This window comes from Homo sapiens, chromosome 7 (assembly GCF_000001405.40).
Source record: "Homo sapiens chromosome 7, GRCh38.p14 Primary Assembly".
NCBI lineage: Eukaryota > Metazoa > Chordata > Mammalia > Primates > Hominidae > Homo > Homo sapiens.
In genome coordinates this window covers 148,965,914-148,991,364 of record NC_000007.14, presented here as the reverse complement: position 1 = coordinate 148,991,364, position 25,451 = coordinate 148,965,914, and the positions used below count along the sequence as shown (strand labels likewise).

Genomic DNA, 25,451 nt, shown 5'->3' with positions numbered 1-25,451 from the left:
GTTGGCTCACTGCATCCTCTGCCTCCCGGGTTCAAGCAATTCTCCTACCTCAGCCTCCCGAGTAGCTGGGATTACAGGCATGCACCATCACACACAGCTACTTTTAGTATTTTTAGTAGAGACAGTTTTGCCATGTTGGCCAGGCTGGTCTTGAACTCCTGCCCTAGGTGATCTGCCCGCCTTGGCCTCCCAAAGTGCAGGGATTACAGGCGTGAGCCACCGTACCCAGCCTTTAATTTTTTAAAAGCTTCTATTTCCATAGATTTTGGGGGAACAGGTGGTATTTGGTTACATGAGTAAGTTCTTTTTTTTTTTTTTTTTTTTTTTTTTTTTTTTGAGACAGAGTCTTGCTCTGTCGCCCAGGCTGGAGCGCAGTGGTGCGATGTTGGCTCACTGCAAGCTCCGCCTCCCAGGTTCACATCATTCTTCTGCCTCAGCCTCCCGAGTAGCTGGGACTACAGGCATGTGCCACTATGCCCGGCTAATTTTGTATTTTTAGTAGAGGCGGGGTTTCTCCATGTTTGTCCGGCTGGTCTCAAACTCCCGACCTCATGTGATCTGCACACCTCGGCCTCCCAAAGCACTGGGAATACAGGTGTGAGCCACCCCACCCGGCCCAGAGAACAGCTTTGTCTCTTTCGAGAGAGAGGTGCACCCAAATGGGACCTCCAGACCTCAGTGGAGTGCACCGGATTTTATAGGCAGGCTTGAGGAGGCGGTGTCTGATTTACCAGGGACCCAAAGATGGGTTGGACCAGGTGTGACATCTACATAGCATGAGAGGAAGCTGGGACTACAGGCACCCACCGCCATGCCCGGCTAATTTTTTTTTTGTATTTTTAGTAGAGACGGGGTTTTGCCATGTTAGCCAGGATGGTCTCGATCTCCTGACCTCGTGATCCGCCTGCCTCGGCCTCCCAAAGTGCTGAGACTACAGGCGTGAGCTACTGCGCCCGGCCATGAGTATGTTCTTTAGTGGTGATTTGTGAGATTTCGGTGTGCACCCATCACCAGAGCAATATACACTGAAATCAATTTTTAGCCTTTTAATCCTCATCCCCTTCCTACCCTTTCCCCCACAAAGTCCCAAAGTCCATTGTATCATTTTTATGCCTTGGCATCCTCAGAGCTTATTTCCCACTATAAGTGAGAACATACAATGTTTGGTTTTCCATTCCTGAGTTACTTCACTTAGAATAATAGTCTCCAATCTCATCCAGGTTGCGGCAAATGCCATTAATTCACTCCTTTTTATGGCTGAGTAGTATTCCATTGTATATATATGCCACAGTTTCTTTTTTCTTTTTTTTCTTTCTTTTTTTTTTTTTTTTTTTTTTTTTTTTTTTTTTTTTTTTGAGACAGAGTCTTGCTCTGTTGCCAGGCTGGAGTACAGTGGTGTGATCTTGGCTCACTGCAACCTTCGCCTCCCAGGTTCAAGCGATTCTCCTGCCTCAGCCTCTTAAGTAGCTGAGACTACAGGTGCACGCCACCACACTCGGCTAATTTTTGTATTTTTAGTAGAGACAGGCTTTGACCATGTTGGCCAGGATGGTCTCAAACTCTTGACCTCGTGATCCGCCTGCCTCAGCCTCCCAAAGTGCTGGGATTACAGGCGTGAGCCACGGCGCCCAGCCCTATGCCACAGTTTCTCTATCCATTTGTTGGTTGATGGGCATTTGGGCTGGTTCCATATTTTTGCAATTGCGAATTGTGCTGCTACAAACATGCATGTGCAAGCATCTTTTTCATATAATGACTTTTTTTTTCCCCTCTGGGTAGATATCCAGTAGTGGGATTGCTGGATCAAATGGTAGATCTACTTTTAGTTCTTTAAGGAATCTCCACACTGTTTTCCATAGTGGTTGTACTACTTTACATTCCCACCAGCAGTGTAGAAGTGTTCGCTTTTCACCATATCAACACCAACATCTATTATTTTTTTGATTTTTTTTTTATTATGGCCATTCTTGCAGGAGTAATGTGGTATTGCATTGTGGTTTTGATTTGCATTTCCCTGATCATTAGTGATATTGAGCACTTTTTCATATGTTTGTTGGCCATTTGTATATCTTCTTTTGAGAATTGTCTATTCATGTCCTTAGGCCAGTTTTTGATGGGATTGTTTTTTTCTTGCTAATTTGAGTTCCTCGTAGATTCTGGATGTTAGTCCTTTGTCGGATGTATAGATTGGGAAGATTTTCTCCCACTCTGTGGGTTGTCTGTTTACTCTGCTTACTGTTCCTTTTGCCGTGCAAAAGGACAGCTAACATTCTTATAGTTTCTTTTTTTAATGTGCCAGTAAACTCTATGTGGCTTCTCAGTTAATCTTCCCAACACCCTATAAGATAGATACTTCGATTATGACCATTTTCTAGATGGAGAAACTGAGGCTCAAGCAAGGTAAGTGACTTGACCAGAGATAGCTAGCTAGTAGCTGGTGAAAACTAGGACTCAAGCTGAGATAATGTGGCTGCAGCCCGTGCTGTTCATCTCTAATGCCTGCCGGATTCTCACTGCATATCATGACACCTATTGGGGCATCAGTCAATTTGATTAGTCAGCTTCAGTGTCTTCATTTGTGGGGTTGTTGGAAACAGATGAGACAGGATCTGGCTGAGAAACAGCCCCAGAAACCTCCTCTCCCAGAATGGCACCAACCCCCCTTCCCTGCCTCTGAGCCTGGCCACTGGGTGGACTTCCAGTCCACATAGTAGACTAGATCACCCCCAGTGCATGCAAAGGCAGAGTGAAAGGTATAAACAACTTAGTCAAATCAAGCTGTACAATGAAAAACAAAAGGAAATAAAACTATTCTGGCGCACACCTTTTTCTTATTAATTTCAAGTTGGCTGCCAATGTTTACCTGCTTTGTTCTTAAAATAATCCATTCTAGAATTTTGCTAGAGAGCAACATCGTTTAGAGATTGTCATTTATGAAACTCTCACTCTCATTTTCCCCTCTTTTGAAATTAGGACAACATCTACCCATGTCTAGTTTTCTGGGGTTATTCATTCTCCTCAATGGCATTCATTCATTCATTCACTCAACACATTTACATAGCACCTGCTGTGTCCCAGATACTGTGCTAGGTACCAGAAGGAGTCAAACATAGTCAATGATTCTGCTTTTCCATTGGCTTGGGGCATCCAGGAACACATTTTCTCAGGCTTGGAGATGTGAACTCCAATGGGCAGCTGCCTGCCCTTCCCCTCCCCTTGCCTGCACCTTTACAGTAAGGTCTACTCGCCGCTGCAGCAGGAAGATCCTCCATTAGGAGTAAAACAGAGCTGTGAATTCGGCTGCCCCAGGAACAGCCCGATCCTTGTTGCTCCAGACACATCCCTACTGTCTTTTTGCTGTTCTTTGCTTTCGGCATGAGTTTCAGGTCTTTCAGAGCTTTGCCTCTGACACTTTCACAGAAATCTTTTCCACCCGCCTTTTCTTAGTCATCTTTACTTCGGACTTCCTGCTTCTGCCTTTTGTCCCTGTAGATTCTGAAGTCCTCAGGAACAATCCAAGATCTTCTGGTGTTTCAGATGCTTCCCCTTCACGTTCCTTAGGTGGTGGTTTCTGTTCTATCAGTTGGGGTTTAAGGAGGAGGCAGGGATCTTGGGCAGTGGGAGAAGCACCTCTGTAGGGAGCTGACTGCCAAGATGGGAAAGTGTCAGCCTCCAGGTAGTGGCGCTTGCTGGGATTTACCGACGCTGGAAGCACAGACTTTATCTGTAGGGCTCACAGTTTCCTCCAGGTCCCACAGAGCTGTCCGGAGGGTCACACAGCAAACAGATAAAGGAGGCCAGCGCAGATTGGGCGGCTCTCTGGTACCTTGCGGTGGCTGAGCCACTCAAGACAAACCGGGGGAAAGACGCCCTGATGACGAAATGCTAATTTTGCATATCTCTTTCCCAGGATGCTTAGCAACACGTCTGATTCTTGTTATTCAGTACGTTTTTCCAGCTATTGATAAATAGATGTGCCAGGGAATTCTTAGAGTATATATATATCATTAATATTGTAAATATAGTCATCAGTAAACTGAAACCAGAATATCACTGTAAGGGGAAAATGAACAAATTTGGGGGCTTTAAATAGTTCAAACAGTAGGAGGACTTATTGGCTGGTCCGAAGGTAGTGAGTTATCTCAATTGATTGTTCACAGTCAGTTACAGATCGAACTCCTTGTTCTACTCTTTCCCCCCTTCTCACTACTGCACTTGACTAGTCTTTTACGAGAGTTTCCACTCTCCTGGCATCCCTCGTTTCTTGTTTTCATCTCAATTTTAAAATGTTGAAAGTCAGCATCATTAAATAAAGCATGGAATACAGGGGGAAAACGAAGTACTATTCTTTTCTTCCAGAAACAAACAGTAAATTTGGGAAAACCCATCACAGACAAGAAGGAAAAAGAAAACAAAAATCAAATAAATAGTAATAGATACTACGGACCAATTATTGGTAAAGATGGTATAGTATGTCCTAAGAGATCAAAGACAGGAAATGGGATGAGGGTGAATAGGGGTTTTTCTTTTTCTTGTACTTTTTCTTTTCTTTTCTTTCTTTTTTTTTTTTTTTTTTTTTTTTTTTGAGACAGGCTGGAGTCTCTGTCACCCAGGCTGGAGTGCAGTGGTGTGATCTCGGCTCACTGCAACCTCCGCCTCGTGGGTCCAAGCGATTATCTTGCCTTAGCCTCCTGAGTAGCTGGGACTATAGGCGCGCGCCACCACGCCTGGCTAATTTTTCTATTTTTGTAAAGACCGAAGTTTCGCCATGTTGGCCAGGCTGGTCTTGAACTCCTAACCTCAAGTGATCCTCCTGCCTCAACCTCCCAAAGTGCTGGGATTACAGGCGTGAGCCACCGCGCACGGCCAGGATTTTTTTAATGTTTTAATATCAGTAGGATTAAGGACTGGTATTTGATGATACAACACTCAATGGACAAAATTAAGAGGCATTTCAAAGTCGACAATCCAGTTAAGTTTTGAAGCTAAGAGATGTGAACATTTTCAGAGAGAAAGTATTTTGGAGGAAGACAAACCAAGTCCAAGAGTTTGAAAATAGAGAAGGCGGAAGAGGGCAGAGTACATTGCGGGATGCTCACCACGTGAGGCACCAGAGCCACTTTCTAATCCTGGTTCAGCCCTTAGGTTCTTATGTAGCCTTTAGAAAGCCACGCAGCTGCCTCCTCATCAGAAACAAAGGGTCATTACACTGATCTTCCTTCCCTCTTCGCTACATGGAAGTATACATTCCTAACAGCCTCGAGGCAAAGTGTTGTTTGATGAGATTGTGGTGGTGTTGCAGTACAGTGTGACTGCCACAAATGTGTATACAACAAAAGAATATTTAAATTTTTCTTATAGGTGAAAGTAACCCAAGGCACCTTGAGGGCACATGTGGGTTTCCCAAGAGCTTCCCTGTGGGGTTTTTTGTTTTTTTTTTTTCTTTCTGAGACGGAGTTTCGCTCTTGTTCCCCAGGCTGGAGCACAATGGCGCGATCTCGGCTCACTGCAACCTCCGCTTCCCAGGTTCAAGCGATTCTCCTGCCTCAGCCTCCCGAGTAGCTGGGATTACAGGCATGTGCCACCACGCCCAGCTAATTTTTTGTATTTTAGTGGAGACGGGGTTCCTCCATGTTGGTCAGGCTGGTCTCGAACTCCCGACCTCAGGTGGTCCGCCAACCTCGGGCTCCAAAGTGCTGGGAATACAGGCAAAAACCACCACACCCGGCCTTGAATTGTAATTCTCAGGTGTTGAGGGGGAACCTGGTGAGAGGTAACTGAATCAGGAAGTCAAGACTTAAGGGTCTCCTCAATCTAAGTCCCGAGGCTTTTCCCGTACAGCTAGCTTGCTGCTTCTTCAATAATAGATATGCCTTAATTACAGTGATTGTTCAAGCCAACTGATGTTGCTATGATCACGTACCAGCTATGAACACAGGACTGTCACTGTATCTCAGGAATAATGGCAATTAAATGATATTGCAAGAGAGTAACAGTCTATTGGCCATAGTCACCATTTGATATTTGCAAAGGAATACATTTGTATTGTGTTTTATAAGGTACAGGGTATTTTCATATGACCTATTTCATTTAATATTCTTTGCAGTCCAGTTAAATTAGTATGACAGACATTATCATTTTACAAATGAAGAAACTGAGGTTCTGAGAGAGATCACATAAGCAGCCGAGAGTCAGCCACTGAGTTCATTGCTTGCAGAGCCAGAATAACCTTTCTTCCCCAAAAGTATTCTCTCTGCTACCCCGCAAAGAAAAACCAGCAATCAAACAATGTCAACAAAGCCATGAAACCAATTGCTGTACTATTCCAGTCAGTGGAAACATTGCTAAAAACTAAAAGATAGATGGATGGATAGTTAGGAGGGAGGGAGAGAGAGAGAAAAAAGTATGTAGTTGATGGTGGAATAACTGTTAATATGGACACTACGAAACTAACACGAGAGCAGAGTCAATTTCTCTGACTTTAGGTTGATTTCATTCCACAGATATGAGACTGCACAATTCTATCAGTCTTGATGACATATGTATCCTATCTCCAGAAACTTCCTAACCAGATAATATCTGCAAAGCAATAATGAATGCCCAGTGCAACTATAAGGCCAGCTCAGAGTAATATGATAACTTGAGGAAGAAAAGAGTTTGGCATTAGTTCTTTCCTAAGACGTATTTGAATAAGATAGGATTGTCAGATAAAATACAGGATGCCTGGTCAAATTTGAACAATAGTGTAAATAGATTTTTAGCATAAGTATGTCCCAAATATTGCACACTATATCCTACTGTCATTGCACAGACAGTAGTTTGAAGCCAAAATAATTTTGATTTGCAAAAGCGCGGCATTTGCGAAGAGAAAGGGGATATTTTCCAATACCAAAATCTTTATGTTTTACAAGAAAAGCAAAGCTTGGTGGATCCAGGTTTAGAGATAATACCATGAACCATCGTGTCCGAGGTGAGCAGTTTCCCCACCACACAGTAAAGAGGAAAGCTTCGTGTCTGCATCATTTCTAGGTTAACAGCTTGGGATTTTCTTCATCTTTGATCTTGCTAATACTGTATTAACACAGACAAGCTTAAGCACAGATGTGCAAAGTGTTTTACTTTTCAGTGTGAAATAGAATCATGCTATGTACATTACTTTGCAATTTGAAAAGCTTGCTCTCTTACCACTGCACTCTGCGGACCTTTGCCCTCTCCTGGATCCCTCTTCTTCATGCCTGACACCGTGGATAAGGAGGTGCGTGAGACATGGTTCATTCCTTAGGTCACCTAAACCTATGGTTCTCCTTATTCTCAAGGTACAATTCAGAGACGAGGGGACCTCCCTTTTCAACACGGAGCATGCCAGGCTCCTAAAAACACTTAATGTGCTCTGTCCACTAGTCATCTTCACTGGCAAGTAGTGGTGTGCTTAAGAAAAACCTTCAGGCAGGATCTTGGCTGTTCTGTATTGGGGAACAGAAAATGCTTTCCCACCCCAAAACCACAGCAAAAGGCTAGTCAAGTGAAGCAGTGGGAGTGGAGAAGGAACAAAGAAATCTGTAACTGGTTGTGATCAATTAGTTGTAAACACCACTGCACTCGGACCAGCCGAAACACAAAGGCACGCTGCTACTTATATAAGCCTCGAAAGTTCCATCTCTACCATAGTTACGGTGACTATTCACAGGAGCTAAAAAAAAGGAAGAGTATAAATACACCCCAAATAGAAAGCAAATGTTTAAAAAATAAAACTGTTAAACACATAGACTTTGTAAGAAAAAGGTCCTTCTCTCTTCAGTGACATTAAAGGAGCTCGGGCAACCCTGCTCAAAGCATTGTGGGTGATTTGCATGGAAACCCTGCATCAGCCACATCCATCAAAGACTCCCACGGTGCCCCCGGCGGGGCCTCAGTCTCACAGGGCCAGGACGTCTAGAGCGGGAGGGGACGTCCTCTTAAGAAGGAAGAGGCAACCCGCCGCGGGGGTGGGGCCGGGCGGGCGGGGGCCCCTTGGAATTCAGTGGCCCCCCCGGGATCAGGGGTCCCCGCGGTTCGGTGGTCCCGGACCCCACGCAGGGCTGGCGCGGCCCCCCACGCCCGCGCCCCCACCCCCGGTTCCCCGTGGAGGGGGAGCGTGTGTCCTGCGAGGAGCCCTGCAGCCCGGCGTCCCCTCCCCTTTTCCTTCCCAACGACCCTCTTTAAAAATGAATGAATGAATGTATGAATGAATGAAGTCCCAGATTCTGGTGTCACCCACGATGCTTTTCTTGAGCTTTCCAAGGTTTGTTTTGTTTTGTTTGAGCTCTTTAGGAAGCTTTCCTGGCGGTTTCGCCATAGTCCTGCGCTCCTGTTACCAAGTGGTTTTGTTTCAAAGCGGCTGCACTGGGGACCTTGAGCTATTCTGGAAGGAGGTTAGGAACCCCACTCTAAACAGAAAGGGAAACATTCGGTCCGTGGAAGCTAACATTTTAAAATACATAATTAGCAATTATCTTTTTAAAAAGTGACGCCGTGGAGGAATGAGGCGCACAGAGCCTCGGAGAGACTCCCGGGGGCTGAACGCGCACCTGGCTTCTCAGCAGGGGCAGCCTGGGCCCCCAGCCCTGGGCCGCACAGCGGGTCCCAGGAGCTGCCGGGTGGGGCAGGACCCGACACGAAGGGCGAGGGGAGCGCAGCCTCGGGGGTCTTTGCCTTTCCAGGCTCTGCAGTGGGGGCCCGACCCCTTGACCCCCAGAGCGGGTCATTTTGAACAATCCTCTTACTACAAAATTATTTTCAGTAAAACGCATGAAATAATCAGTATGTATCACTGGATTTTGCGATTAGTCCATTAATTTTAAAAGAAGCAATTAACAATTTAAAAAAGAAGATATGTCCATTTTAAAGTTTTTTTTTTTCAAATTTAGAAAAAGATTTCATGTTATGAAATGAACTTTCCACCTACCAAGTATTATATCTTGTGTTCCCTGCGTAAAGGCTGTGTGTTTTCACTTTTACATTAAACACACTTAAATTTTCTTTCCTTTTTTTCTTTTTTTGAGACAGGGTCTCCTCGCTCTGTCGCCCAGGCTGGAGTGCAATGGCACGATCTCTACTCACTACAACCTCTGCCTCCCGGGTTCAAGCGATTCTGCCGCCTCAGCCTCCGGAGTAGCTGGGAATACAGGCACCCGCCACCATGCCTGGCTAATTTTTTGGTAATTTTAGTAGAGACGGGATTTCACCATGTTAGCCAGGCTAGTCTCGAACTCCTGACCTCAGATGATCTACCCGCCTTGGCCTCCCAAAGTGCTGAGATTACAGGTGTGAGCCACCATGCCCGGCCTTAAATTGATTTTTAAAATATAAAATTTTGGCCGGACCGGTGGCTCCTGCCTGTAATCACAGCACTTTGGGAGGCCGAGGCGAACCGATCATCTGAGGTCAGGAGTTCGAGACCAGCCTGGCCAACATGGTAAAACCCCGTCTCTACTAAAATACAAAAATTAGCCGGGTGTGGTGGCAGATGCCTGTAATCCCAGATGCTCGGGAGGCTGAGACATGAAAATCGCTTGCGCCAGGAGGTGGAAGTTGCAGTGAGCCGAGATCGTGATACTGCACTCCAGCCTGGGTGACAGAATGAGACGCTCTCTCTCTCTCTCTCACATACACACAATCAATTTAAATCCCATTGTTCCAGAGCCGTTTGTTAATCTGTTCTCTGCTGTGCTGCCATTGCCTCTTTGTGAAACATCACTTGACTACCCTTATGTGTGCCAGTTTGTGGGTTCCCTATTCTGTTGCATTGATCTATCTGTTCTTTCACTAATACCACACTGTCTTGATTACTGTAGCTTTATACAGTCCATCTTGAGGTTGGGTAGGGTCAGTCCTGTGACTTTGTTCTGCTTCAACGTTGTTGGCTATTCTGGGTCTTTCAGCTTGTCCATGGCAACTGTTTCATTTAATTTCTCTTTCTGATATTAGTGATTTGTGTATTCTCTCTTTTTCGTCTTTGTCAGCCTGGCCGGAGGCTGATCTTCTCTACTGATTTCCTGTTTTTTAAGTTAATTGATTTCTGCTCTAATTTTTATTAGTTCTTTTCTTCTGCTTACTTTGGATTTAATTTGCTTTTCTTTTTCTAGCTTCTTAAGGTGGGAACCTAGAATATGGACTATAGATCTTTCTTCTTTACTAATGTATGCATTTAATGCTATCAATTTTCCTCTAAACACTCTTTTTGCTGCACCCCATAAATGGGATGTATTTTCATTTTTTATTTAGTTCTAAATATGTTATTTAGAAGTGTTGGCGGGGTGTGGTGGCTCACGCCTGTAATCCCAGCACTTTGGGAGGCTGAGGCGGGTGGATCACAAGGTCAGGAGTTCAAGATCAGCCTGGCCAAGATGGTGAAATCCCGTCTCTACTAAAAATACCAAAAGTTAGCCGGGAGCGGTGGCAGGCGCCTATAATCGCAGCTACTTGGGAGGCTGAGGCAGGAGAATCGCTTGAACTCGGAGAGTGGAGGTTGCAGTGAGCCGAGATCATGCCACTGTACTCCAGCCTGGGTGACAGAGTGAGACTCCGTATCAAAAAAAAAAAAAAAAAAAGAAAAAGAAGTGTTAATATGGGCTGGGCTTGGTGGCTCACACCTGTAATTCCAGCACTTTGGGAGACTGAGGTGGGCAGATTACCTGAGGTCAGGAGTTCGAGACTGGCTTGGCCAACATGGCGAAATCCTATCTCTACTAAAAATACAAAAATTAGCAAGGCATGATGGTGGCTGGGTGACTGAGGCACCAGAATCTCTCCATCCCGGGAGATGGAGGTTGCAGTGATCCGAGATCACTCCACTGCACTCCAGCCTGGGCGACAGAGCAAGACTGTCTTAAAAAAAAATTATATATATATGGTTTGGCTTTGCGTTCCCACCCAAATTTCATCTTGAAAAAAATTTTTTTTCTTTTTTTTTGAGACGGAGTTTTGCTCTTGTTGCCCAGGCTGGAGTGCAATGGTGTGATCTGCAACCTCCTTCTCCTGGATTCAAGTGATTCTCCTGCCTCAGCCTCCCCTGTAGCTGGGATTACAGGTGCCCACCACCGTGCCCAGCTAATTTTTGTATTTTTAGTAGTGATGGGGTTTCACTGTGTTGGCCAGGCTGGTCTCGAGCTCCTGACCTCAGGTGGTCCACCCGCCTCAGCCTCCCAAAGTGCTGGGAATACAGACATAAGCCACCGCACCCAGCTTTGAATTGTAATCCTCAGGTGTTGAGGAAGGAACCTGGTGAGAGGTAATTGAAACATGGAGGTGGTTTCCCGCGTGCTATTCTCGTGATAGTGAGTGAGTTTCACGAGATCTGATGGTTTTATAAGTGTTTCTTTGGTAGTTCCTCTCCTGCTTGTTGTGGTCTCTCTAGTGCTGTTTTATGAAGAAGGTGCTTGCTGCTTCTTCCGCCGTGATTATAAATTTCCTGAGGCCTCCTCAGCCATGAGAACTGTGAGTCAATTAAACCTCTTTCCTTTATAAATTACCCAGTTTTGGGACAGAGTTTTTTTGCTTTTGTTGCCCAGGCTGGAGTGCAATGGAGCGATCTCAGCTCACTGCAACCTCTGCCTCCCAGGTTCAAGCGATTCTCCTGCCTCAGCTTCCCAAGTAGCTGGGATTACAGGCATGCACCACCACGACCAGCTAATTTTTGTATTTTTAGTAGAGATGGGTTTTCACCACGTTGGTCAGGAAGTCCTGACCTCCAGTGATCTGCTTGCCTCAGCCTCCCAAAGTGCTGGGATTACAGGCATGAGCCACAGTGCCTGGTCTCTTTTTTTTTTGAGATGGAGTTTTGCTCTTGTTGCCCAAGCTAGAGTGCAATGGCACAGTCTCGGCTCACTGCAACCTCTGCCTCCCAAGTTCAAACGATTCTCCTGCCTCAACCTCCCAAGTAGCTGGGATTACAGGTGCCTGCCGCCACACCCGGCTAATTTTTTGTAATTTTTAGTAGAGATGGGGTTTCACCGTGTTGGCCAGGTTGGTCTTGAACTCCTGACCTCAGGTGATCTGCCCTCCTTGGCCTCCCAAAGAGCTGTGATTACAGGCTTGAGCCACTGCACCTGGTGGGGAAATTCATTATAGCAGTGTGAGAACGGACTAATACAAGTTTATTGTTTAACCCTCAAATATTTGGGGATTTTCCAGATATTGTTCTGTTATTGATTTCTAGTTTAATTCCATGTGGTCTGAGAGCAGATGTTGTATGATTTCTATTTTTTTAGACTTGTTGAGGCATAAACGTACCTTTTATTGCCCGGAATATCGTCTATCTTGGTGAGTGTTCCGTGTGAACTTGAGAAGAAAGTATATTCTGCCGTTGTTGGATGAAGTAGTCTACAGATGTCAAATGGTAGTTTATTACTAACCATGTGAGTCCTGGGGAACCTAAAGGAACTCACTCTTCAAACAAATGTTTTAACTGAGTCTGCACGTCGTGTTGGCTTGAGAGTTCTCCAAATTAACTCTCATGTAGTCATATGATGCGTAGTAAAGGGAAGACTTAAAATGTGCTCATTCCAATCCTACATGTATATGACTGAAATCCAGGGGCAACTGCAGCAACATTTTAGAATTTAGACCAATAGAGGCTTTGGGGGAGGAGCCTTTTCTTGTTGGCATTGTTTAAAATTGCCAGGGCATCGCCATGAAAATCATGAAAAGCCAGCCACCTTCTAGTTGGTTTCTGATTGTTTTAGGTCTTCTCTGACAGCTCCCTGCCCTGTGCGGGGTGATAAGCCAGACACCCCAGCAAGTTCCCTCCTGGAATGATTATTATTACTCTCTCCTGGGATTCCCAGGCCCCAGGGAGAGCCGTTTGTTCTGTTGTTTTTCAGTCTGAGCCTGGGGTCTGAATGATGCGGCTCACAGCCACCTGGGCCCTGATGTGGGGACAAGTCCCTCTCCCTTCCTCAGGTGGCTGTTAATGGGACACTTCATCTTACTCCCTTTCTGCTGTCCGATCCCAGTAGATCCCAAGCAGCTGCAAGGCTGCCCTTCCCCGCCTCTCCACATCCTCTAATCTCCGATTTTCCTGCAATTCCCTGAAGTTCCCCTCCCGCGGAAGCGCACGTCCTCATTCCTCAGCTGTGCTGTACCCACCTCCTGTAACTCCATTGGAGGACATATTTCATTCCTCTGTCCTGCCTGTATGGAGTAGGCTCCTGAATTGGCCCAGAATTTGGGGAGGAATGTTGGGTATTTCTTCCCATACTCATCATCAACAACTCATGTTTTTGTACCCACCCCTCAAATAATGATGATGGGTTTGACATGAGCTACTGAGGGTCTTAGCGATACTGGTAAAAGGATCTCCTTTCTAAAGAAAAAAAAATTTTTAGTTAACATATTATGTATAATAATAATAACAGGTATAAAATCATTCTATATAAATATAAAATTATTGAACATAAAATGATAGAAATATGAGTTTGAAATCACTATAAATTAAAAACTCAAAATCACCAAAACACGATAATTTTTATTTGTATTATTTATTTTTTTATTTTATTGAGACGGAGTCTCACTCTGTCACCCAGGCTGGAGTGCGGTGGCGCTATCTCGGCTCACTGCTACCTCTGCGGCCCAGGTTCAAGAGATTCTCGTGCCTCAGCCCCCCGAGTAGCTGGGACTACAGGCACGTGCCACCACGCTGGGCTAATTTTTGTATTTTTAGTAGAGACGGGGTTTCACCATGTTGGTCAAGCTGGTCTCGAACTCCTGACTTCGTCATCCGCCCACCTTGGCCTCCCAAAGTGCTGGGATTACAGGCGTGAGCCACCGTGCCTGGCCAATTTTTTTTTTTTTTTTTTTAATTTATTGAGACTGAGTCTCGCTCTGTCGCCCAGGCTGGAGTGCAGTGGCATGATCTCGGCTCACTGCAACATCCACCTCCTGGGTTCAAGCGATTCTCCTGCCTCAGCTTTCTGAGTAGCTGGGATTACAGGCATGTGCCACCACACCCGGCTGATTTTTGTATTTTTAGTAGGGATGGTGTTTCACCATGTTGGCCTGGCTGGTCTCGAACTCCTGAATTCAGGTGATCCACCTGTCTTGGCCTCCCAAAGTGCTGGGATTACAGTCGTGAGCCACCACACCCAGCCAGGTTCTCTAGTTTGAATGGCCCCTTCCACAAACAGGGTAGTCTGTGTGAAGGCTTACATTTTGAAAATAAGTCCTCCACTGCCTCTGCTCCAATACACACAGCCCTTCAGTTTGAGATAGAGAGATGTCCAGACAACCCAAGAACAACTTTGGCAGAGCCTGAGGAGGTCCATGTTGTAACTAACTGCTTTGTTTGCAGAGTCTCGGAGGCTTTAGATAATTTACTGTATAACTACTGAGCTTCTTGGGTTTTTTTTTTTTTGAGACAGAGTCTCCCTCTGTCACCCAGGCTGGAGTGCAGTGGCACGATCTCAGCTCACTGCAAGCTCTGCCTCCCGGGTTCAAGCGATTCTCCTGCTTCAGCTTCCCAAGTAGCTGGGACTACAGGCACGCATCGCCACACCAAGCTAATTTTTGTATTTTTAGTAGAGACAGGGTTTCACCATGTTGGCCAGGATGGTTTCGATCTCTTGACCTCGTGATCCGCCCGCAGAGTGCTGGGATTACAGGCCTGAGCCAGCAGGGGTTTCGTTTTTCACCTGGATAAATGCAACTTCCCTTTTTCTGCATCTCAATGCCTGGCCCTCCGCACTGCAGACACTCCTCCTGGAGCCTCTCCACACTGCAGGGCCATGACAAAGGCAGGGAGGCAGTCCCTCTGCTCAAGTACCAGAGGCTGAACCCGTCCCATGGCAAGGCCCATGCTTCTCCAGGACAATGCACTCTAGTTAGAGATGAGAGGCGTGACCTCCCAGCCTCTAGACCTGGTCCTTGGAGGGGCTTAGAAGATCCTAGCACTCCTTGTATTTTATAAAAAATCTTCTGTCTCCTCCTCATGTGCATGTGTTTTCCTGGAAAGAAGATCCACAGCTGTCATCAGATTCCCAAAGGAGCCTCTGAGTTGGTCATGAACTTCACTCTAGCTAATATAAGCAGAAGGGATCAACACTGCCCAAAGCCTGGCGCAGGTCTGGGCCTTTGAGAGAGCTCATGCCCCTGCCCAGCTTCAGGAGATCCTCGGCTGCCAGGAGGCAGTTATGGCCATGAATCCCTGCTCTCTGCTCCAGTCTGTCCCAGCAAAATGTAAGCCTCATCCTGCCAGCCCCCACCCCATCTGATTAGAAATTCAAGTCTTGCAGTGAGTTAGTGCATCTAAGAGGCTGAACCTACATCACCTCCAGACCCAGCTGCAGGGCCTTCTGGGAAATGTGGTTTTTAGCTTTGTCCACCTCCTTGGTACTGAAAAGAAAGCTGGATGCTGAAAAGCATAACCATGGCATCTGTCACCTGCTGTCAGTCACAATTTTACACCACTTAAAAATTAACCCCGGTCAGGCACCATGGCTCACGCCTGTAATCCCAATACTTTGGGAGGCCAAGGCAGGCAGATCACCTGAGGTCAGGAGTTCAAGACCAGCCTGACCAACATGGTGAAATCCCATATCTACTAAAAATACAAAAATTTTCCGGGCTTGATGGCACATGCCTGTAATTCCAGCTACTTGGAAAGCTGAAGCAGGAGAATCGCTTGAACCCGGGAGGCGGAGGTTGCAGTGAGCTGAGATTGCGCCACTGTACTCCAGTGTGGAGTGAGACTCTGTCTCAAAAAATAATAATAATAATAATAATTAAAAAACCCCACTGTTCCCTGATATCTGTTGCAATCCCTTTCTAATGGTAGAGCTGCTACATTACTGACTTTTACAGTGATTGTTTCACTGACACCTCCATTCAATGATCCTGCAAATCTGGGATGTGGCGTGAAGGATTCCATGGCTAAGCTAGGATCAAACCCAGGTCTGTCCAATTCCAAAAAGCCTGTGCTAAGCCCACTAGAGCTTCCTTGTGTGCTGCAGAGAATGTGCCCAAAATACCTTCTCCACTTCATCCTGACCCCTCAAATCAGCCATGCCCTGCCACCCCCACTTTGGCATGAAATAAACATTCTAGCTTGCTACAAATCCATTACTCAAGCAGTAGGTGGCCAGCAAAGACCAGAGGGAGCGCCCATAGCTTCTGCCAGCCTCTTCTCTAGGCACAGAAATTGCCACCTAAGTTGTCCTTAAACAAACAAGAATGCATTTTAACTAAGTATAAAGAATATGTATGTAGAGTGAGACTCTGTCTAAAAAAAAAAAAAACAAAAGTTTTTTCCAGCTTGTATTTTGAATTTGAATCCAAAATAAGACCCATCCACTGTAATTGGTTAATGTGTTTCCTTTTGTTTGTTTGTTTGAGACGTAGTCTCACTCTGTCACCCAGGCTGGAGTGCAGTGGTGCGATCTTAGCTCACTGCAACCTCCGCCTCTTGGGTTCAAGTGATTCTTGTGCCTCAGCCTCCCTAATAGCTGGGACTACAGGTGCATGCCACCACACCCGGGTAATTTTTGTGTTTTTAATGGAGACAGAGTTTCACCATGTTGCCCAGGCTGGTCTTGAACTCCTGGGCTCAAGCGATCCAACCACCTTGGCCTCCCAAACTTTGGGATTACAGGCGTGAACCCCCGCGCCCGGCCCAGTTAATGTATTTCTTAAAACCTTTTTTTTAGTTAAGATATAACTCACATATAAAAGTCACCCTTAAAAGTATACAATTCAGCCAGCCACAGTGGCTCATGCCTGTAATCCCAGCACTTTGGGAGGCCGAGGCGGGTACATCACCTGACGTTTGGAGTTTGAGACCAGCCTGGCCAACATGGTGAAACCCCATCTCTACTGAAAATACAAAAATTATCTGGGCATGGTGGCTCATGCCTCTAATCTCAGCTACTCGGGAGGCTGAGGCAGGAGAATCACTTGAACCCAGGTGGCAGAGGCTGCAGTGAGATCACGCCACTGCACTTATGTTTAGCATATTCAGAAGATTCTGCAACCATCACCCACTATCTAATTCCAGAACGTTTTCATCACCCCAGAATGAAATCTCTGTGTTCATTAGCAGTCACTCCCATTTCCCCCTCCTGCCCCCTAGCCCCTGGCAACCACTAATCTACTTCCTGACTCTTAATTCTCTTCTAACGTACAGGTTTCTCCCTCTCTCTCTTGCAATTTGTTTGTTGAGGAAACCTGTGGCGTTTTCACAGGTTCGCTTCATGACTGCCCTCAGTGGTGGTGTTTAAAGGGCTCCCTTCCTCGGCGTCTCCTGTAAGTGGGTGGTTGGGTCTGGAGTCTTGATCAGATTCCAGTTGTATCTTTTTTGGCCTTACTTTATAAATGGTATTTTGAACTTCGATGAAGAGGTACATAACGTCAGATTACCTCTTTTTGTGGTACTAACAGCTGTTAATAATTGTTGCCTAACTTTGTTAATTCATCAGGGGTTGCAAAACGGTGATGTTTTAATTCTATTTCTTCTTCATTTCGTAGGTGACATACTCTATAAACAGAAAGTTTCCTTCAGCGACTATTAAGTTACTGAGGTGCATGCAGTATGTTTAATAAAGGCAGAAAGGTTTGACTCTTTTGGTTTATTTACACTTATACAAATAATGAGTTGCTTGGGTTCCAAGCATTCCCCAAAACCGATCTGTGAGGGCTTTTGAGGGGGGCGGAGGGGGACAAAAATCAGATTTTTATAAACTACTCATTGTAAAACTCACTATACAAGTAGGAAAGGTAGAGTGGGTCCAGATTCTGGGGTCCTTTGCCCCTGGCAGGGCATCTGCATTGCAGCAGTAGGGGAGCCTGATTCATTCCTAATTGAGGCGTTGTTTGGTGGAAATGGTATTGAAGGAGGCGTGGAAAAGGCAGGCAAATGGCAGAGCAGACTTGGGTGGGGCGGGGTTAATACTCACAGCTCATGGAGCTCAGCCAGGTCAGTCAGGAACTGTCCTGTGATTTTTTTTTCCCCTTTCATGAGCTATGTGCAGGAATACCTTTTTTTTTTTTTTTTTGGAGACGGGTTTCCCTATGTTAGCCAGGCTGGTATCGAACTCCTGACCTCAAGTGATCCGCCCACCTTAGCCTCCCAAAGTGCTGGGATTACAGGCATGAGCCACCGTGCCTGGCCAGGAACACCTTTTTAAAAATTATTTTCATTATTATTTATTTATCTTGAGACGGAGTCTCACTCTGTCTCCCAGGCTGGAGTGCAGTGGCGTGATCTCGGCTCACTGCAACCTCCACTTCCCAGGTTCAAGCGATTCTCATGCCTCAGCCTCCCAAGTAGCTGGGATCACAGGCGCCCGCTACCACGCTGAGCTAATTTTTGTATTTTTAGTAGAGGCAGGGTTTCGCAATGTTGGCCAGGCTGGTCTTGAACTCCTGACCTCAGGTGATCTGCCTGCCTCGACCTCCCAAAGTGCTAGGATTACAGGCGTAAACCACTGTCTGGCCACCTTTTTTTTTTTTTTTAACTTTTTTTTTTAAATGTTGCTATAATTTAGAGACAAGCAGCTGGACAAGAATGGAAATGAAAGCAAAGAATACAACAGAGGAATCATTTTGAAGAACAATTCAGACACAACCAAGTGATTGACAGTGGATGGGAAACCTTGGAGAAGCCTCGTAAGGTTTCCGGCGAGGGGCAGAGGCGATGATCATTCCGTGAATCAAAACAGGGAAGTTGAGTGAGGGAGGCAGTTCTGAAAAAGAGAAGGAAAGGATGACAAGGTTGGTAGTGAAGAGGTTGCTTGAAGTTCCAGTGAGATACTCATGTGGAACTAGCTGGCTGAAGCCGTGGGGTAGGAGATGTATCAAGGACAGGCACATTTGTGTAGGCCAAGGGCTGGAGAAGGCAGAGAAAGGGAAGCAGAGTCAGGCAGAAGGGAGGAGCTTCATGTGAGAGTTGGGTTAAGGAGAAGAAGGACTCAGCAGCCACTGGGTTTGTCAAGACAGAACTGGTGACCCGAGAAAGCAGGGGGATTCAAAAAAACATTTTAAAGGGAACATCTACTGGATGTGCCCAGTGGCATTCGGAACCCATTTGTATCCACCTCCCGGATACAGAATAGGAGGCTGGCAGTGAGTGGAAGGCAAAGAGACGGCCACGGTGTTGGGAGGAATCACAGTTTTTCTTTTCTTTTTTTAAGATGAAATCTTGCTCTGTTGCCCAGGCTGGAGCGCAGTGGCGAGATCTCGGCTCACTGCAGCCTCCGCCTCCGGGGTTCAAGCAATTCTCCTGCCTCAGCCTCCCGAGTAGCTGTGACTACAGGCATGCACCACTATGAGTGGCTAATTTTTGTATTTTTAGCAGAGATGCGGTTTCACTACGTTGGCCAGGCTGGTCTCAAACTCCTGACCTCAAGCAATCCGCCCACCTTAGCCTCCCATAGTGCCGCGATTAAAGGCGTGAGCCACCGCGCCCAGCTGGAATCGTCGTTTTTCAAGACGGTTAAGATGGGTGCATGTTTTCAGATGGTGGGGAAAATTGATATAGAAGAGGTGAGGGGTTAAGTTTTGGGGGGGCCACTGGAGTCAGGGACCACCTAGTTACACAATGCAATCAAAATTAACCTGAGGGCCAGGCGCAGTGGCTCACGCCTATAATCCCAGCACTTTGGGAGGCCTGAGGCAGGAGGATCACTTGAGCCCAGGAGTCTGAGACCAACCCAGGCAACATGGCAAGAATTTATCTCCACAAAACCATAAAAAAAAAATTAGCTGATTGTGGAGGCACACGCTTGTTGTCCCAGCTATTTGTTAGCTGAGGTGGGAGAATTGTTTGAGCCCAGGAGGTAGAGGCTGCAGTGAGCCATAATCACACCACTCCACTGCACCCCCAGCCTGGGAGCAAGACACTGTCTCAGAAAACAAAACAAAACAATCAAAAAACACACTGTGGCTCACGCCTGTAATCCTAGCACTTTCAGAGGCCAAGGCTGGAGGATCACATGGGGCCAGGAGCTGGAGACCAGCCTGGCCAACATGGTGAAACCCCATCTCTACTAAAAATACAAAAATTAGCCAGGTGTGGTGGCACCCGCCTGTAATCCCAGCTACTCAGGAAGCTGAAGCAGGAGAATCGCTTGAACCTGGGAGGTGGAGGTTGCAGACAGCGGAGATCGCACCACTGCACTCCAGCCTGGGCCACAGAGAGAGATTCAGTCTTGAAAAAATGAAAAATAAAAATACAAAAAAAATTAAATTAACCGGGCGTGGTGGTGCACATGTAATCCCAGCTACTTGGGAGGCTGAGGCAGGAGAATTGCTTGAACCCGGGAGGTGGAGGTGGCAGTGAGTCGAGATCGTGCTACTGCACTCCAGCCTGGGAGGCACAGAGAGAATCTGGATATATATTACCAACATGAGTTATCCCTGGTAATGTATACCTTGTTCCCCTGGCTGAGGTGTGTTTGTCAGCTTTCTCTGCCGTAAAGTGGCTCTTTTTACTTACTCTCTCTCCCCATACTGTACTTTTTGGTGGAAGTTTGACCAGGACAGTTTTTCAATGGTATTTCTCTTCCACAGGCCTGACTTTTCCTTTGTCACGACAACACTCACATCTGTGAATATACCCACATCCTACGTTTGCCGCCACGAATACTTCTTTCCTTTATTATCTTATTTTCCTCTATCATCTTCTTTTCTTTTCCTTGTGTACAGCTTTCTCTTGAGTCTTGCCAGTTGGTCTGCATTAGATGGTGAATAAATATCCATAGGAAGCAAAAACTTGGCAAGTGGGTGTTGCTGGAGCATGGGAGACAAACAGTTCCCGTGACCTCAGGTGATGAGGCTGTGAGCTGCAAAGGGAGTTGTTTTAATTGTAATGCTATCGGCAGTGACACATGTAGCAGTTAATCACCACATCAATCCATCTATAGCATAATTATCATCTCAGTTAAAACATCAGAGCCTGCTGGCAAGTATCATTAAGTCTAAATTGGATGCCTGGGCAATGTTCTAATTACAATATTTGAATTTTTAAAGTGAACTCATGGAAAGATTAGCTTCATGCTGTAATTATTGATTTCCACCTATTGGACAGGAATATGCACAATGTACTCTTGAAGTAAATGATCACTCTCTCCTTATAGCACTAAGGTGGGCTTATTTATATGATTAATTAAAGTAATTACATCTTGCTTCTTATAATAAAATATATATTAGAATATATTCAATTCTAATTACATCGTACATTATATTATAGAAAATATTTTGTTTGAGCTCAGGAGTTCAAGCCCAGCCTGATCAACATGGTGAGGCCCCGTCTCTACTAAAAATGCAAAACTTAGGCTGGGCATGGTGGCTCACGCCTGTAATCCTAGCTCTTTGGGAGGCCGAGACAGGCGGTCAGGAGATCGAGACCATCCTGGCTAACATGGTGAGACCCCCATCTCTATTAAAAATACAAAAAATTAGCTGGGCGTTGGTGGTGGGCACCTGTAGTACCAGCTACTCGGGAGGCTGAGGCAGGAGAATGGCGTGAACCCAGGAGGTGGAGCTTGCAATGAGCCAAGATCGCACCACTGCACTCCAGCCTGGCGGACAGAGCGAGACTCCGTCTCAAAAAAAAAAAAAAAAAAAAAAAAAAAAAAGCCGGGTATGGTGGTGTGCATTTGTAATCCCAGCTACTCAGGAGGCTGAGACAGGAGAATTGCTTCAAATCAGTAGGCGCAGGTTGCAGTGAGCCGAGATGGCACCACTGCACTCCAGCCTGGGCGACAGAGTGAGACTCTGTCTCAAAAAAAAAGAAAGAAATTAAACTATAGGGAAGTCATCTTTTGATTAAAATAGAAAATGTAATCCTTGGCATTGGGCCTCTGCTTTTTTAGGCTCCTGCTGTACAGATTTGGGAAGCACTGGCTCTGGTGAACAGGGCAAGCCTGCTGAAAATGTGACCTTTTTGGCCTTGTATTAGGCCATTCTTGCGTTGCTATAAAGAAATACTGGCCAGGCGCGGTGGCTCACGCCTGTAATGCCAGCACTTTGGGAGGCCTAGGTGGGCGGATCACGAGGTCAGGAGATCGAGACCCTCCTGGCTAACACGGTGAAACACTGTCTCTACTAAAAATACAAAAATATAAAAAAATCAGCCGGGCGAGGTGGCGGGCGCCTGTAGTCCCAGCTACTGGGGAGGCTGAGGCAGGAGAATGGCATGAACCCGGGAGGCGGAGCTTGCAATGAGCCAAGATGGCGCCACTGCACTCCAGCCTGGGCGACGGAGCGAGACTCCGTCTCAAAAAAAAAAAAAAGAAATACTGGAGACTGGGTAATTTATAAGAAAAGAGGTTTAAGTGGTTCACAGTTCTGCAGGCTGTAGAGTAAGCGTAGCACTGCATCTGCTTCTGGGGAGGCCTCAGGAAGCTTCCAATCATGGCAGCAGGTGAAAGAGGAACAGATGTGTCACATGACAGGAGCGGGAGGAAGAGTAGGGGGGAGGTGCCATACTGTTAACCAGATTTCGAGTACTCACTCACTATCTTGAGGGCAGCAGCGAGCCATGAGGGATCTGCCTCCATGATCCAATCACCGCCCCACCAGGCCCCACCTCCAACATTGGTGATTACAATTCAACATGAGATTTGGAGCAGACATCCAAACGATATCAGGCCTCTATCCTAAGGGCCACAGTGCCACCGTGGATGACCAAGTGGGCTGTGCCCTGCATGACTCTCGGAGCCACCATTCCTGCAGAGTCTAGAATGTAGACTGGACTGAGACTCATGCCCTGGAGTTGTACTAGGTGGCTGTGGACCGCCCATAAATTATGTAGGTGAGGGCAGGTGCTATGGCACATGCCCGTAATCCCAGCACTTTGGGAGGCTGAGGCAGGCGGATCACTTGAGGTCAGAAGTTCTAGCACAGCCTGGCCAACATGACGAAACCCCATCTCTACTAAAAAAGACAAAAATTAGCTGGGTGTGGTGGCATATGCCTGTAATCACAGCTATCAGGAGGCTGAGGCATGAGAATTGCTTGAACCCAGGAGGTGGAGGCTGCAGTGAGCCAAGGTTGCACCACTACACTCCAGCCAGGGTGACAGAATTGAGACTCTGTCAAAAAAAAAAAAAAAAAAAAGGCTGGGTATGGTGGCTCACGCTTGTAATCCCAGCACTTTGGGAGGCCGAGTTGCGCGGATCAGGAGATCAGGAGATCAAGACCATCCTGGCTAACACGGTGAAACCGCATCTCTACTAAAAATACAAAAAATTAGCCGGGCTTGGTGGCGGGCGCCTGTAGTCCCAGCTACTCGGGAGGCTGAGGCGGGAGAATGGCATGAAAAAAACAAAGCTCATTTTAACGTCTTAGCCATTTTAAGTGTACCGTACATTCAGTGTTAAGTGCATTCACATTGTACATAATCAATCTCCAGAATGTTTTCATCTTGCAAAAACTGAAACTCCATACTCAAAAATAACAACTTCCCATTCTAAGCTCCTCTCCCCCACAATCCAGCTCCATGGTCACCACCATTCTGCTCCCTGTGTGTATGAATTTGAGAACTCTAGTATTCTAATGTGGAAACACACCACAGCTGGTTTATCCATTCATCCATAGAGGAGCATTTGGGGTTTCCACCCTGTGGCTGTTGTGGATACTGGTGCTAGGAACATCAGTGTAACAAATGTCTGCTCGATTATTCTCTTACTTTGAAAAAACTTTCAAAAAACTAGTTTGAGCCCAATAGGCCTGATTTGCTCTAACGCTGGGTCCTGGATCGCTGGTTGTTGGATCTGAATCATACTGCAGTTTGCTTTCTCCAGACTGGGTAAGGAGCCACTCTTGTTCTCCCTGCAGCCCACTTTTCTGTCACAGGTATTGATATTGATCAATATCTTGCATCCCGGCGGGGCGCAGTGGCTCACGCCTGTAATCCCAGCACTTTGGGAGGCCGAGGTGGGCGGATCACCTGAGGTTAGGAGTTCCAGACCAGCCTGGCCAACATGGTGAAACTCCGTCTCTACTTAAAATACAAAAATTAGCCGGGCTTGGTGGCGCACGTGCCTGTAATCCCACACACTAGGGAAGCCGAGGCAGAATTGCTTGAACTTGGGAGGCGGAGGTTGCAGTGAGCTGAGATGGCGCCACTGCACTCCAGCCTAGGCAACACAGCAAGACATATATATATATGTCTTGCTATATATATAAAAAACCCCTACGTGTCTTTGCCTCTCTGTGCGCCCCCCACACTTACCCTGATGCTTCTTATGTGAGGAGCGGGAACACCGGGCTTTCTTTTGTTCTCCTGCGTGAAGGCTCCCAGGGAGCCTCACCTTCTCTGGGACTTGCCTGGAGCCTCTGCGAGAGGCGAGTATCGGCACCACCAGGCCAGCCCCGAGCAGCATCTCCCATGGGCTGTCCAGGTTCGAGCCAGCGCTTGTCACCCTGTCTGCGTCCTGCAGGGGGCGCCAGAGGCCCAGCGGTCGTTCGGCCCTGTCAGCTGGTTGACACCGAGGGCCAGGATTGCGCTCGTTTTTAAGTATAATATTTTAGGAACGCCGTGACCCCACCCACCTTGGCTGACTGACTTGTGAGATATGACCAAAAACAATGAATCGACATGGAGAAATTGGAACGCTTGCACTCTGCTGGTGGGAACAGAAAATGGTGCAGCCGCTGTGGAAAACAGTCTGGCAGTTCCTCAAAAAATTAAAAATAGCATTGCCGGCTGGGCGCGGTGGCTCACGCCTGTAATGCCAGCACTTTGGGAGGTCGAGGTGGGCGGATCACGAGGTCAGGAGATTGAGACCATCCTGGCTAACACGGTGAAACCCCGTTTTTACTAAAAATACAAAAAATCAGCCAGGCGTGGTGGCGGGCGCCTGTAGTCCCAGCTACTCGGGAGGCTGAGGCAGGAGAATGGCGTGAACCCGGGAGGCGGAGCTTGCAGTGAGCCGAGATCGTGCCACTGCACTCCAGCCTGGGCGACAGAGCAAGACTCCGTCTCAAACAAACAAAAAATTAGCATTACCTTATTTATGATTCACCAATTCCACTTCTGGGTGTGAACCCGAAAGAATCTGGCCGGGCACGGTGGCTCAAGCCTGTAGTCTCAGTGCTTTGGGAGACTGAGGTGGGAACATAGCTTGAGCTCAGGAGTTCGAGACCAGCCTGGGCAACATAGTGAGACCCCCGTGTCTGCAAATAATTTTAAAACTTGGCTGGGCACGGTGGCTCATGCCTGTAATCCCAGCACTTTGGGAGGCCGAAGCGGGTGGATCACTTGAGGTCAGGATTTCGAGACCAGCCTGGCCAACATGGTGAAACCTCAAATCTACTAAAAATACAAAAATTAGCTGGGCATGGTGGCACATGCCTGTAGTTCCAGCTACTTCGGAGGCTGAGACAAGAGAATCACTTGAACCTGGGAGGCGGAGGTTGCAGTGAGCCATGATAGCACCGTTGCATTCTAGTCTGGGTGACAGAGCAAGACCTTGTCTCAA

General features: G+C 46.7%; 2 long non-coding RNA genes and 2 other non-coding genes across 4 annotated transcripts, besides 10 other annotated features; 1 reads left to right on the top strand and 3 right to left on the bottom strand.

Moving 5' to 3' along the window:
* Nucleotides 1-1,935: 1,935 nt before the first annotated feature.
* Nucleotides 1,936-3,838, bottom strand: GHET1 (gastric carcinoma proliferation enhancing transcript 1). Its single transcript, NR_130107.1, has one exon. It is a non-coding gene; the product is annotated as a gastric carcinoma proliferation enhancing transcript 1 (long non-coding RNA).
* Nucleotides 3,479-3,979: an enhancer, noted in NCBI's record as "H3K27ac hESC enhancer chr7:148684478-148684978 (GRCh37/hg19 assembly coordinates)". NCBI's record gives its function as "activates a minimal SCP1, AML or CMV promoter by ChIP-STARR-seq in naive H9 embryonic stem cells {active_cell/tissue: H9 hESC(naive)}" and the evidence as "EXISTENCE:reporter gene assay evidence [ECO:0000049][PMID:30033119]".
* Nucleotides 3,492-3,541: an enhancer, noted in NCBI's record as "active region_26804". NCBI's record gives its function as "activates an Ori minimal core promoter by ATAC-STARR-seq in GM12878 lymphoblastoid cells {active_cell/tissue: GM12878}" and the evidence as "EXISTENCE:reporter gene assay evidence [ECO:0000049][PMID:35858748]".
* Nucleotides 3,862-3,911: an enhancer, noted in NCBI's record as "active region_26803". NCBI's record gives its function as "activates an Ori minimal core promoter by ATAC-STARR-seq in GM12878 lymphoblastoid cells {active_cell/tissue: GM12878}" and the evidence as "EXISTENCE:reporter gene assay evidence [ECO:0000049][PMID:35858748]".
* On the top strand, nt 4,117-4,229 carry RNY1 (RNA, Ro60-associated Y1). Its single transcript, NR_004391.1, has one exon.
* Nucleotides 4,122-4,191: a silencer, noted in NCBI's record as "silent region_18740". NCBI's record gives its function as "represses an Ori minimal core promoter by ATAC-STARR-seq in GM12878 lymphoblastoid cells {active_cell/tissue: GM12878}" and the evidence as "EXISTENCE:reporter gene assay evidence [ECO:0000049][PMID:35858748]".
* Nucleotides 7,509-7,610, bottom strand: RNY3 (RNA, Ro60-associated Y3). The gene has a single exon (NR_004392.1).
* Nucleotides 7,908-8,007: a silencer, noted in NCBI's record as "silent region_18739". NCBI's record gives its function as "represses an Ori minimal core promoter by ATAC-STARR-seq in GM12878 lymphoblastoid cells {active_cell/tissue: GM12878}" and the evidence as "EXISTENCE:reporter gene assay evidence [ECO:0000049][PMID:35858748]".
* Nucleotides 11,222-11,422: a silencer, noted in NCBI's record as "peak6832 fragment used in MPRA reporter construct". NCBI's record gives its function as "represses an SCP1 promoter by STARR-seq MPRAs in K562 erythroleukemia cells {active_cell/tissue: K562}" and the evidence as "EXISTENCE:reporter gene assay evidence [ECO:0000049][PMID:32103011]".
* Nucleotides 12,953-13,454: an enhancer, noted in NCBI's record as "H3K27ac hESC enhancer chr7:148675003-148675504 (GRCh37/hg19 assembly coordinates)". NCBI's record gives its function as "activates a minimal SCP1, AML or CMV promoter by ChIP-STARR-seq in naive H9 embryonic stem cells {active_cell/tissue: H9 hESC(naive)}" and the evidence as "EXISTENCE:reporter gene assay evidence [ECO:0000049][PMID:30033119]".
* Nucleotides 14,075-14,574: an enhancer, noted in NCBI's record as "H3K27ac hESC enhancer chr7:148673883-148674382 (GRCh37/hg19 assembly coordinates)". NCBI's record gives its function as "activates a minimal SCP1, AML or CMV promoter by ChIP-STARR-seq in primed H9 embryonic stem cells {active_cell/tissue: H9 hESC(primed)}" and the evidence as "EXISTENCE:reporter gene assay evidence [ECO:0000049][PMID:30033119]".
* Nucleotides 14,575-15,076: an enhancer, noted in NCBI's record as "H3K27ac hESC enhancer chr7:148673381-148673882 (GRCh37/hg19 assembly coordinates)". NCBI's record gives its function as "activates a minimal SCP1, AML or CMV promoter by ChIP-STARR-seq in primed H9 embryonic stem cells {active_cell/tissue: H9 hESC(primed)}" and the evidence as "EXISTENCE:reporter gene assay evidence [ECO:0000049][PMID:30033119]".
* On the bottom strand, nt 20,595-24,331 carry LOC124901768 (uncharacterized). Its single transcript, XR_007060580.1, has 2 exons — nt 24,203-24,331; nt 20,595-20,807 (listed from the first exon to the last, which is right to left on the bottom strand). It is a non-coding gene; the product is annotated as an uncharacterized LOC124901768 (long non-coding RNA).
* Nucleotides 24,238-24,287: an enhancer, noted in NCBI's record as "active region_26802". NCBI's record gives its function as "activates an Ori minimal core promoter by ATAC-STARR-seq in GM12878 lymphoblastoid cells {active_cell/tissue: GM12878}" and the evidence as "EXISTENCE:reporter gene assay evidence [ECO:0000049][PMID:35858748]".